A 14,068-nucleotide genomic window follows, 5' to 3' on the forward strand; every position below is an offset into this window, starting at 1 on the left:
GTACAATTTAGAGCTTAGGAACTCATGGAAAAAAATAGAGTTAACACGGATAAAGGGATTTTAAAAGGCGAGAGAGGGAAGAGTTTCTTAAGGAGTCTCCAATGACAAAAATGTGTTCATTTTCTGAGACCTCCAGAATGAATTACTAAGGTATCCTCAAACAAAAGTGGTTTTGCTATTCAGAAATTCATATGTTCTAAATAGAGAAAATTAAAAATTAAAAAGACATGATTTAGATTTTGCAGTTTCTTTGATATCCAAAATCCTACAGTACTCTAAAAAAATTGAAATTAATTTTCAAACTTTTATCAATAAATTTGTCCCCCCAAAATATCCCAAATATGTGTATATGTGGATACATGTACACGTATATATGCTGAATATATTAAATTCTCATATATTTAGGGTTTCTCAATAAGACTGATGCTGGATATGAGTCCTGAGATCCGTCCCACATCTTCAGGGATCTCCTTTAGCAATTACACACACACACACACACACACACACACACACACACAAATTTTCTGTCCTTCTGGATCCCTCTCCTGTGCATATTGATAAACTCATGCCTCCCACTTCAGCATTTTCTCAAGCAATCATGCTCTCCCTCCTTCTGCCTTCACAGCCATTCTCCTAAAGGAGATATCTATTCTCACCATCTCCACTTCCTCGCCACTTACTCACTTCTCAGCCCACTGCAATCTGGCTTCCACTGAAACTGATCCTGCTGAAGTCACCCAAGCTTCTCCATTTGCCGAATCAAGTGAAGCCTTCCTGGTCTATCTTACAAAGTCTCCCTGAATCAGACACTACTGATCTCTGCCTTCTTGAAACTCTGCCATCGAGATAACGCTCTTCTCTGCTCTCTCTCACTGTCTCTCACTGTCACCCCCGCTCCCTCTTCTCAGTTTCCATCACTGCCTCTTCCTCTTCCAATATCTCCCTAATTGTTGAATGCCCCAGAGGTTCTTCCTTATCCCCCTCTCTTCCTCCTAGATTCCTTATGGCAGATGCATTCATCTAAGCCATAAGCCTGGGACTTATCCTAACACAATGTCATCTTCATCTCCATATTCACCTCAAGTCCTATTGATTTTGTACTTTCATTTTCTGCCCAGCCTCTCTGCTCTTGAGCCTACTGTCCACACTGCAAACAGAGAGAGATTAAGAAGCAAATCTGGTCATATCACTCTCCTGCTTACCACCTTCTAGAGGTTCTCCCTCACCTATTATTGTTGATTTATAAGTTTTTAAAAAAGAAATCTTTAGGCCCGGCACGGTAGCTCACACCTTTAAATCACAGCACTTTGGGAGGTCAAGGCAGGAGGATTGCTGGAGCCCAGGAATGGGAGACCAGCCTGGGCAACACAGTGAGACCTCATTTCTACAAAAAAAATTTAAAAATTAGCCCGGCATGGTGGCGCATGCCTGTAGTCCCAGCTACTTCAGAGGCTGAGGCAGGAGGATTGCCTGAGTCTAGGAGGTCGAAGCTTCCGTGAGCCGTGATTGTGCCACTGCACTCCAGTCTGGGTGGCAGAGCAAGCCCCTGTCTTAAAAAAAAAAAAAGGAATATTTTTTCTGCACTGGGAGGTAAGCTCTGTGCAGGCTATGCCAGCAAAATGCTTGGCACCAAGTATGTGCTCAATAGACCACTGTTGAGTAAAATGAAATCTTACAATGAAGTCCAACTTGAAGCATGCACACAGTAAAGCTGAGAAGTTCTTATTGAGACAAGGGTAGGAGCAGAATCCTCCCTGCTTGCCCTGAACATACCCCACCAGTACCCCCAGGTACCTCTGTGAACCCCCTACTGATTTACAGCATATCTGGAAAACCAGAAACCTATGTGATAAATTGTAAGCTTCCTAGCATGGGATACAGACCTTTGACAAACTAATTTCACCTACCCTCCAACATCATTTCTGACTGATCTCCGTCTTCACCCTTCACTCCAGCCTTGACAGGCTGAATTACTGCCATGCCTGGACATGCAGAGCTTTGCACATGTAGTTATTTTCTGCCTAGAATACTCTAACCCTCCTTGACAGCCTAGAAAACTCCAACTTACTCCTCAAGAGCAGCTCAAAGGTGAAGACGTTCTGATTCCACAAGCAAAATGTATTGCTCCCTTAGTGCCATAAATATACCTCATACATATCTTTATTATAAGTCTTATCACACTTTATATCAATTTTTGTTTACAGGTTTACTGCCTCTACTGGGCTATGAAGGCACAAACTCTTTCTTATTTATCTCTGAAACCCAGGGATTAGCTAAGTGCCTGTTACCCAGGAGATACTCAATATGTGTTTGTGTAATAAATGCAATTCTACTGGACTGAATCATTTTTTATCTCATACCCTTTTGATAATGTCATTTTGCATGTCACAGTGTCCCATGTTAAAAACTGGCCAGTTAATCTTCTACTATCTATGTTTTAGCAGAAATGAATAGGGATGAAGACTTGTGGATTCAAATACATATTTAGAGATAATGCCTTTTTTTATTTTACTTTAAGTTCTGGGATACACGTGCTGAACATACAGGTTTGTTACATAGGTATACCTGGGCCATGGTGGTTTGCTGCACCTATCAACCCATCATCTAGGTTTTAAACTCCACATGCATTAGGTATTTGTCCTAATGCTCTCCCTCCCCTTCCCCCACCCCTGACAAGCCCCAGTGTGTAATGTTCCCTTCACTGTGTCCATGTGTTCTCATTGTTCAATTCTTACTTATGAGTGAGAACAATGCTGTTTGGTTTTCTGTTTCTGTGTTAGTTTGCTGAGGATGATGGTTTCCAGCTTCATCCATGTCCCTGCAAAGGACATGAATTCATTCTTTTGTATGGCTGCATAGTATTCCATGGTGTATATGTGCCACATTTTCTTTATCCAGTCTATCATTGATGGGCATTTGGGTTGGTTCCAAGTCTTTGCTATTGTAAATAGTTCTTGTGAGTCTTTTTAATTGAAATTGAGATGTCTGAGATCTAATGAGTTATTACAACTGTTCTTCTCCTGAGCACTGCTGAAATAATGTCTTGCATCTTAGGTTTTATATAATAAGATAAATAAGATAGGAAAAATATGTGGGTCATATTTGTTCAATGTGAAAGAGATCAAAGAGTACAAGATGTGATCCCTTAACAGATTCAGAAGGGGGCCATCTCTTTAATGATATAAAATTGAAAATGAGAAATATCAGATGCAGAAAAGAAAATTTTAGTTAAAGAAAATTTGATAGCAAAATTTAACTCAAGCTATGTAAATGAGACTTCCCAGGGAATGAAAAAAATATCTTCTCATTCTCTCCAGCTGGTCTCCAGAGTCGATGTTTCTACATTAGTTGCATCAGTTTCCTCATGATTCTGAAACATTTGGGTGCTAAATGCAAACCAGAAAATAAAACTCGGTGTGTTGGTCTCCTGGTAGATGATTTTTGTTTTCCACTTCCAGGGCAGTTTTGCAATTATGTAGTGGAGAATCATATTCACCTTTGATATATATGTCTTAATCAGATTATGGTAACAAGTAATTTACTTACCATCTTATTAACCAAAAATATCTGGTATTACTCAAGACTTCTTTCTGTATGTACCAACGTAATATTCCTGATGTTCACAAAGATGGTATTGCAGGATCCTGAAGTACCCTTTAAATCATGGAAGAGAAATGAAATCCCCTGAGTTTCAAATCCAAGTGTACCTTATTGTATGTATTCTAATTCCCTGAAAAACTGGGATTCATGTAGAGCATATATGGTTGTTTGTGTGTGTGTATGTACCTGTGTGTGTACGTGTGTAGAATATTTGTTTGTAACACACCCAGTCCACCACCCATAACCCATAATAAAAAACTTACACAAAATCAGTGGTCCTAGCTGGTCACAGTGTCTCACACCTATAATCCCAGATACTCAGTAGGCTGAGGAAGGAGGATCACTTGAGGCTGGGAGTTTGAGACCAGCTTGGACAGCATAGTGAGACCCTACCTCTAAAAAATTTTAAAAATTAGCTGGGCATGGTGGTGTGCCCCTATTGTCCCAGCTACTTGGAAAGCTGACATAGGAGGATTGCTTCAGCCCAAGAGTTCAAGGGTGCAGTGAGCTATGATTGCACCACTGCACTCCAGCCTGGGAAACAAAGCAAGACCTAATCTCTAAAGAAAATTTTTTTAAATAAATACATAAATCAGTGTTCCTCCAAGTATGTTCTAAAGACCCTTGAAGAACCTGGAGAATTTTTCAGGAGTTACACAAGGCCAAAAGTATATTTATAATAATGCTAAGACATAATTTGTCTTTTTCATTCTCATTCTCTTGCAGATTTGTTTTCCAAAGGCTATATGACATGTGATATTGGAACAGGTTGAATCCAAAAGCACATATGAGAATCCAACAGTATTCTACTAAACTAGACATTAAAGAGATTAGCAAAAATGTAAAACAACGCCACTCTTCTCATTAACAGTTTGTTTTGGGAAATATAGTTATATTTCATTAAAATGTGTGATGTATGCTGAAATGCAGTAGGAGAATTTGAGATTTATTGTGCTTCCTGAATCTAACGATTCATGTCTTCTACCTGTTCTGGAAAATTCTCACCAATTATCTCTTTAAATATTTCTCATATCCCCTCATTCTCTTTCATCCATGTAGAATATCATCAGTACAACATATATGTGTCCTTCAAATGCTCACATATTCAATGTTTTTTATATTTTTCCATTCTTGCAACTCTGTGCTGCACTTTAGGTACTTCCCTCAGATTTTTCCAGTTTGCTAATTCTTTTTACAACTGAATCTAATTTGGTTATTTAAGTATTCCATTGTATTCTAAAATTTGATTATCACTTTTTTATTTTTTAGAAGTTCTACTTTATTTTATAAAACCTGTCAGGCCTTGTTTATGTGTGTGTTCTTAGTTACATCTTATTCCTGATACTGTTTCCTTAAACCTTTTAAAAATATAAAACTCATTTTATACTCTCTATCTGATTGCTCGTTATCTGAAGTTCCTGGAAGTCTAATAAAGCTGTTTTTACTGCTTGCATTCATGCATGGGAATCTTTCTTTTGGTATGAAATTTTGGATTGTGAATTTATGTTCAATCAAACCTTTTATCCATGGGAATTGTCTTAGTCTGTTTTCTACTGCTTATCACAGAATAACGAACCTAGATAATTTATAAAGAATAGGATTTATTTATTACAATAATGGAGGCTGGGAAGTTTTAGGTCAGGGGGCCACATCTGCTGAGGGCCTTCTTGCTGGTGGGGACTCTGAAGCGTCCAAAGGTGGTGCAGGGCATCACATGGTAAGAGGACTGAGTATGCTAGCTCAGGTCTCTTTTCTCCTCATAAAGCCACCAGTCCCTCTCCTGTGATAACCCATTAATCCATTAATCCATGAATGGATTCGTCCATTAATGAGGGCAGATCCCTTATGACCCAATCACCTCTTAAAGACCCCACCTCTCAATATGGCCACAATGGGGATTAAATTTCAACAGGAGTTTTGGAGGGAAAAATATTCAAACCATAGCAGAATCTTAGGTAGCCTAGGTTGAAGACATGAGTCTTTGGAGAGGATTTGCATTTGCCTCTGTTAGGCACCCAAGGTGTCCCAAGGTAGTATGTATTAGAACTCCTATCCCACTTGAGGGCAGGCCTGTGGTTATAAATTCTCAGTACATACTTTTCGTTTTTACTCTGTATGCCTAAGCCAAGCCAGACAATTTGCCTTATTATCTCCTTTCGCTCGTTATTTTTTTCTATCCATCTTTTAGTGCTTGAGGGTTCCAGATTCTTGTGAGGGTCTTGGCTCCTCTCTACACCTTGCTGGGTCCAAGGTCTTATCTTCATGTGGCTGTTAAACACCAAGCATCTTGGTTACCTGCAACTATAAATGCCCCAGGGCATCAGTGGCTTCAATGTCTGCTTCCTCCCTTGGTTTTCAGCTTCTTCATTTTTTGATCCCTGGGGATTTGCCTTACTTTTTTGCAAGCCTAGTTCTATACATGAGATATTTGTTACATATTTTTTAATATTTTAGGTGTCTTTCTAGGGGGATTTTCAGGTTATCTTGTTTGCCCATATTGCCCAGGAATATAAACTGATACAACATTTCTGAAAGATGAAATGCATACACCATGCAACCAAGCAATTCTACACAAAGAAATTTATCCTTTGCATGGAAATTTGGCAATATCTATCAAAATTTAAAATGTACATAACTTTTAATCCAGCAAGTCTACTTTCTAGAAATTTATCCTACATATATACTCACACTTAAACAAAATGCCATATGAATAATGTTATTTGTTGCAGCAGGCTTTGTGAAAGAATGGAAATTGTAAACAAGCCAAATGTCCATCATTAGAAGACTAGCTGAGTAAATTAAACTACTTCCCACAATATTCTGCAATTGTTAAAAAGAATGAAAAAGTTCCATATGACCTGATATGGAAAGATGTTCATGGTGTAAGTTGCATGACTTCTTTATGTAAAAAATATAAAATATGATAAGATGTGCTTGTATAGTCATTAAAAGCTGAAAAAATACACAATGGTTAAGGTAGTTTCCTACAAGGATCAGGATTGAGCCATTGTTATATGAAACACTGCATATAAATGAGAAATTTGCTAACTTGAAATTACTTTTACCCATTTATTAATGGGTAAAAAGTACTTTACTGCTATATTAGTAGTAGTAGTGTTACTAAAGGCATTTAAAAATAAAGTCCTTCTCCCCAAACTGTTCTGCAACTCTTATCATCTACTACCTGCCTGTCATTCCTTACTTGTCATTTAACCTACCTGTCCTCTGCCGACTTTACTAGGACATTCATTACCTAACGCTCTAAATATAATTTTATAGACTGAAATAGATAGATTTCATACTTCCATCTGCCCTGAGAAGGAATGGTTTACAGTGTACATAAAGGAGTTATATTATAAATGCCACACCAACCACTACAGAGGGAAAGGAAGGGCTCGCTGAGAATTAACTGAAAAGCCAGGCCTATTGCTTTGGCTATGTCACAGTTTGATCAGCAGGAGAGACTGATTTCAACATCTGAGCCTAGCTGTAGCTTCTGGCTGGAACTCTTGAATTTTCAATGAGCTGCTTAATTTCCAAGGACTAGAAGCTGAGTTAGGCATTTATACAGCTGGGAACATCTTCTGGCATGAGGTTGAAGGTTTTCTTTTGAACATCTTCATTCCTTCATATGATGAATTCCTGGAGATGAGAGTGCACAGCTTGAGTTATTTAATTTCCCATTAGATTTAGATGTGCAAATATGACAAAGCCCATGTAATTTCACCTAGCCTTTCACATACTAAATTGCAACTCTCTTTACTTCATTCTCTTTGAAATAGGCTTCATATTAGTGCTGTGATGAAAGCCAGCCCAGATATTATTCTACATTTTGGATTATAATTTTCACCATATTATAATGTTAGGGCATAAGTTATTTCCGATATCTTTGTAGTAATTGGTTGCTTTGTAGATATGGACTTTTTTTGTGTTTGTTTGAAAAAATGAAGGAAAAGATCAGAAGAAGAGAGAAATTTTCCTTTTAGAAAAATAATTATTTCCTTTTTGAGTTTGTATTCCCATCAAAGTCCGTAATAGTTGACATTGAGCTCTTTGGGAAATGTAGATACACATAAATAGAAATAGCAAAGATGGCAGTTTCTGAAATAATGTAATCTAGAGGCACCAGAAGGGAATATTTCTTGACTGTTGGTACCCCAAAGTATCTTTCATAACAGCCCTCTTCAATGCCATGAGTCTCCTCATTCTTTGTATTTCTCAATCCTCTAATAAAACGCAAACATTTTAGAAAAGGCGATCTTTAGAGGCCATGTTCAGTCACTAAATTCTATATCCATCATATCACTTGCCAGCGTGAGAAGCTAAGAAGAACTTAAACACAAGATAGGTAACAAGAAGATAGTAGACAGGTATGACAGGGAGGTCTGTTGGGGAGGCGAAGGAGGAAGGACATTTAGCAATAATGGACTGATACCTATGCATTGAAAAGGTGTTTCACTGGAAAAACAGTGAAAATAGAGGTACAAAATAATAGTATCCATCTATTTAATTTCCTAAATATGGCCAAAGGTATAGTGCAACTGGAAATCACATTGGGAATAAAAACAAATGTGTTTAGTAAAGAAGGTTAGGATTCCAATTCTGCACATACGATGCTCTAAATAAATATGAAACTGTTTCTTAACACCACACGCATATGACTTCTGGGTAAAATATTTACCCTCCCAAAATTTAACAAATAGCTAAGCTTAAAAGAAAGTGAGAATTCCCCAGGTGATGGGAATACAATGGGAACATAAAGCCAGGGCAGTAGGGGAGTGCATGGGGAGGCGATTTCAAACCTAGGAACAGGTCCTAGAGCCTGGGAGCTGGGATTCCACCACCCACACAAGCCAAGAAATGCTGCTTCAGGATAGAACAGGCTTGTCCAACCCGTGGCTTGCAGGCCACATGCGGCCCAGGAAGGCTATGAATGCAGCCCAGCACAAATTTGTAAACTTTCTTAAAACATTATGAGACATTTTTGTGATTTTTTTTTCAGCTCTTCAGCTATCGTTAGTGTTAGTATATTTTATGTGTGACCCAAGACAATTCTTCTTCTTCTAATGTGGCCCAGGGAAGCCAAAAGATTGGACACCTATGGGGTAGAAGGAGGAGAGGAGCTGGAACTGAGGCTTCCATATAAAACAAAGGCCCTTGAAGGGCTGCTCAGACTGGCAATTATCTGCTGTCAACTATGAAAACTCCACCCACCAGCTCAGCAAAGCAGTAAAGCAGTTTTTACCTGCCTGAAATGTTGATTAGAGAGAATGCCGCTGTGAGACAGCAAGCCATTCAGATACCCTGGCTAAAAGAACTACCTAAGGATGTACTTCAGGAAAAAACAGAATTGAACCCAGAGCAAAGATGAAGTGTGAGAAACAATGAGGAGGTAAGAAACTGGTAAAACACCAACAACAAAATCATTAAGATATGTCTCATTTCACGGATAGTAAAACAAGAAAGAACTTCAATACTAGACACTTAAGACTCGGGTTGGATTTCCAAATAAAATCCAGCTATATGCTAATTCTAAGAGCTACAGTTAAACCAGAATGACACAGAAAGTTTAAGAATAAATGATGGGGAAATTTGCATCAGAAAAAATGCTAACCAAAGTACATTTATATTAATATCAATCAGAAAAAAACCCTAAAGAAAAAACAGTACAGTATCATTAGGAATACATAATGGTAAAAGAGTAATTTACTGAAAGTCATAATAATTCTGAACTTATATAAATTTAGCAACATAGCCCCAAAATATATGCAAGGAAAACAGAATTAAAAAGATAAAGGGAAAGATCCACAACCATATTAGATTTTCTTAACATGCCATTCTTCATGACAGATAGATCAAAAGACCAGAAATAAGTGAGACTATAAATGATTTGATAACCCAATTAAGAGACTTGATGCAATGACAATAATTATATAGAATACTACATCCAGCATTTTGAGAACTAATGTTTTTTTCAAGCAAAAATGGAACACATATTAGAACAAAGAAAAATTTCAAAAACTACCAAATAAAATATCCCACAAACCAAGATGTCTACTCAAAATATAGTAAATTTAGGAATCAATAACAAAGCGTTATCTAAGAATTTTTCATTTGGAAAATTTTAATGCATTTCTAAATAATCTATGAGTCAAAGAAGAAATCTCAATAAAAATTATAAAATATTTGGTACTGATCCGCAAAGCAAACCCTATATTTCAAAATGTGTGCAGCTAAATGAACTAATCCTAAAATTGAAAATTAATGATGTAGGCAACTCAAGATATTAGGAGAAAGTTGATGAAATGAAAAAATAAACATCAGAGCAGAAGTTAATGAAATGAGAAACAACAGAAACAAATCTTAAAGTTGCTTTTTAAAAGAAATTAACTATTTTGTAATCAGGGCTAATCATGGGGGAAAAACACAAAGCATAAACAAAACAGATCTGAAAGTAAAGGGTGACATAATTACAGATAGAATAGACATTTTTTTTAAATCACAAGAGAACAGGCTGAGTAACTTGATACCCATAACTGGAAACATAAAAATTGAACCATTCTCTAGAAAAATATAACTTACCAAAACAGACTCATGACAAATTGAAAAGTTGAACAGATCTATATCCATTAAAGAATTGGAATTGATCATTAAAAATCTATATCATCCTCTATAAATAAAAATCACACCATGCTGGATGGTTTTATTGGAGAACATGTCAAACTTCCAACAATCATCATTTTAAAGTTTTTCAGAGAATATGTAAACACGGCAACTTCACTAACTGATTTTAATAAGACTGACATAACTTGGCACCACAACTGAAAAAGTACAGTATTAGAAAGGAAATTTGGCCAGGTGCAGTGGCTCACACCTGTAATCCCAGCACTTTGGGAGGCCGAGGCAGGGGGATTGTTTGAGCCGAGGAGTTCAAGAGAAGCCTGGGCAACATGGAAAAACCCTGACTCTACAAAAAATACAAAAGTTAGCTGGGTGTGGTGGCAGGTGCCTGTAATCCCACCTACTCAGGAGGCTGAGTTGGGAGGATTGCTTGAGCCCAGGAGTTTGAGGCTGCAGTGAGCTGTGATTGTGCCACTGCACTCCAGTCTGGGCGACAGAGTAAGACACTGTCTCAAAAAAAAAAAAAGGAAATTTGTAGCTCATTTATGAACATATTTGCAAAAATGCTAAATAAGATATTACCAGACCAAAGCCAAAAATTTATACTTAAAAAAAAAAAAAGTATCATTACCAAGTAGAATTTATCCCAAGGATTCAAGGCTGCTCTAACATTAGAAAATATTTTAATGTAATTTAACACATTTATAAAGGAAAAAAACATTATCTTATTGCATGTACAAAAGGTATTATTAAATGTATACATATTTATAATTTTTTTAAACACTCAGAAAATTAAGAATAAAAGGAAATTTCCTAAACCTGACAAAAGCATATTTTAAAACCCTATAGAAAATATCATCATAATGAAACTTTATTAGCACTTCCTTCAAGACAAGAAAGAAGAGAAAAAAATGTTTGCCATCAGCACAACTATTCAACAATGTGCTGATAGTCTTAGCCAGTGGAATAAGACAGAAAAATAAATAAATAAAACTTAAAATAATAACAAAGTAATCATTGCTTTGTAGGTAGTTCCAAACTATTTTTAAGGCCTTTAGCTAATTTTGACATTTCTGCACAAAGTCTACCTTTCTAAACTAGAATCCCAAAAACTACAATTTCCAGACTCAGGTTCCTTGGCTGTTAGGTGTAGATTTGTAATTTTGATTTTCCCACCAGAGGCACCTACTGGAGGCTTTGATCCAGAACTGGGTTGTAAGTCAGATGTTGTTACAATTATTAAAAACACTCCCTTTCAGACTCAAAAGAGTTCAGAGATGAACAATAAATTGTGCATTTGCTCCATTACATAGGCAAAAAGGCAACATGTAGAGATATATTTGACTGATAGAAATCATGACAGAAGCAGCATGGATCTGGAACTCTTAGCAGTGGAAGCCTGGATTTAGCAGCTTCTATATTATGGCAAAGGATGTGTAGTCCTGGAGCCAGCAACCTGAGCAACCTGTGTTTTAATAAGCATTGAAGGTGATTCTGATGCACGCCTAAGTTTGAGAACTACTGCTCTAGAGAAATTCTTGCCCATGTGTACAAGAATAAATATATAAGGATGTTTACTACAGCACTATTTGTAATACAAAAATAAGTGGAAACAACTTTAGCATCATCAGTAAGGGAACGGAATTAAGTAAAGTGGCTTAGTTTTACAATAGATTCTATATAGTTCTAGTTCAAATGAATGAACTAGATCTCCACAGATAAATTTCAAAAACCTAATGCTGAATGGTAAAAGCAAATTGCAAAAGGATATATATGGCATGATAACACTTATTTAAAATTTTGAAACACATAACACCAGAGGTCATATATTTACAATATTTACATGTGCTTTTTTAAAACACAAAAACATTGAGGGGATCACACATACCAATTTCAAGACAGTAGCTACTTCTCAGAAGGAAGGGGAAAAATGGCTTGGGGGCATCCTTTAATAATTCATAGGGAAAATATGGTAGCATTTTGGATAACAGATTCATGAGTTTTTGTCATATTCTCTATACTTTTCTTCATATTTGAAAAATCATAAGTTAAATGGTAAGATACATGTTTGTTCTTTACGTTCACTTTCACTTGGTAAATTTGGCAGATAAAATGGTTTTAGAAAACATCCAGTAATGTTGCAGTGTTTCATTTCCAGAGGCCTATTGCCAGATAGAAACTCAGTCTACAATCAAAGGTGAATACTGTAAACACCTCAGTAAATATATATTTTTCAGTTCAGTTTATATTCAACTAAATCCCTGGAATTTCTGGCAGTCATCAACATAGGGAGGACAAAATATATCAATCCCAAATGAAAACTACAGGAGTAACACATCTTCAGGACTGTCTATATATGAAATACTGAGATCTAATGTTCCTTAAATGAGGAGTCTGGGTAAATCTCTTTGTAAAATAAATAATTGTTTTTGAAGATATTTGTAAGTTCCCAGTTTCAAATGTTTTATTTTCCTGATATGTTACATACCTATAAAAGTTCAAAAGTAGAGAACTCAGTTTTCCAGCATTGTTAACCTTCCACAATACTGAAAGAGTAACTCAAGCATGCTTTGGAGGAACAGAGTTGAAACCTGAGACTGATCTATCTACCCATCTATTTGCTCATATATCTACTATTTTTTTCCATCCATCTGATGCTCAGGTAATCCTCTGAGATGGCTTTCACATGTCCATTCCAGACTGTTCCAGCATTTTGCATTCAAGTGAAAATCCATGACTGTTAATTTATAAATACTGCATTGACAAATGACAGGTAAGAAATAATGATTTGTAAGAATTGCATTATGTCTAGGATTTTATTAATCTTAAAAAAATCAACTTAGAATTTCTACTAGGTAACATTAAAATGTATCTGTATACTTACTAAGAACCAGGTTAAAAACAAAAATAAATAAAGTATCACCCATGTGAACTTAATAGCACAAAAGTATTTTTACTAATTTTATGTGTATTAAAATTTTATGTATTGCTAATATTTAGCTATTAATACCTACTCAAATATATCAACATTTTGAAGAAATGCAAAAGCTGCTAAAGTGTTAAGAACTCTGAGAAATTGTAGGAAAAATGCAAATGAGACATCAGAGAAGAGCTCACAAAGACTAGGAGATTGAAATGGAGCCTTAGGAAAAAAGAAGTCAGAGAAGGAAGAAGAAAGGGAGCTTCTGAAAATGAGAAGAGTAATGTGCTGAAGGGCTTATCAAAGAAAAGTCCCAGATACAAATGCTTCACTAGCTGTAAACGATGAGGACCAGTTTATCATGTAAAATGAGAATACTAACCTGCAGACTACATTTCATGGTACTGGGAACCAAAGGTAAGTGCATCAAATAAATATATTAAATGTCACAGTGGGATATTTCACTGAAACCTCCACTCAGTTATGAGAGCTATTTTTATTACACACACGAGAAGCAAAAAAATGTGAAACAATTTATATACAAGAGGGCACAAAGATGGAATCACTGTCTGTATTTAACAATAAACCATGTGACTATTTTGAGTTTAACAATCATACCAGTTAAGTGTTGTATCAAAGATAGCTGATTGTTTATCATGAAATATAAATAAATATGAATAAAATGTGTTGCTATTTTATGAATAACAAAAACTGCTAGAACTACATATGTTCAGTAGTTTATGTCACTAATCTCTGGAGATATCAAAAATCATAATGCAAACTTCCACAAAGTATCACAGATTTGAGGCATAAACAGAGCTTCCCAAAACTTAAAGTAGAAAGAAGATGGTATCATCACAAGCTTAAAATCAATGTCTATTAGTAGTTGCTTTTCAGCCCTAAACAGATTCATGTCAGCTTCACTGA

General features: G+C 36.2%; 1 long non-coding RNA gene across 1 annotated transcript in view; it reads right to left on the reverse strand.

Annotated features, from left to right (window-relative positions):
• GNAO1-DT (GNAO1 divergent transcript) overlaps nucleotides 1–14,068 on the reverse strand; it is a 98,108-nt gene that overhangs the window by 43,784 nt on the left and 40,256 nt on the right. The gene's annotated exons all lie outside the window — the stretch shown is intronic.

Source organism: Homo sapiens, chromosome 16 (assembly GCF_000001405.40).
Source record: "Homo sapiens chromosome 16, GRCh38.p14 Primary Assembly".
NCBI classification, from domain to species: Eukaryota; Metazoa; Chordata; class Mammalia; order Primates; family Hominidae; genus Homo; species Homo sapiens.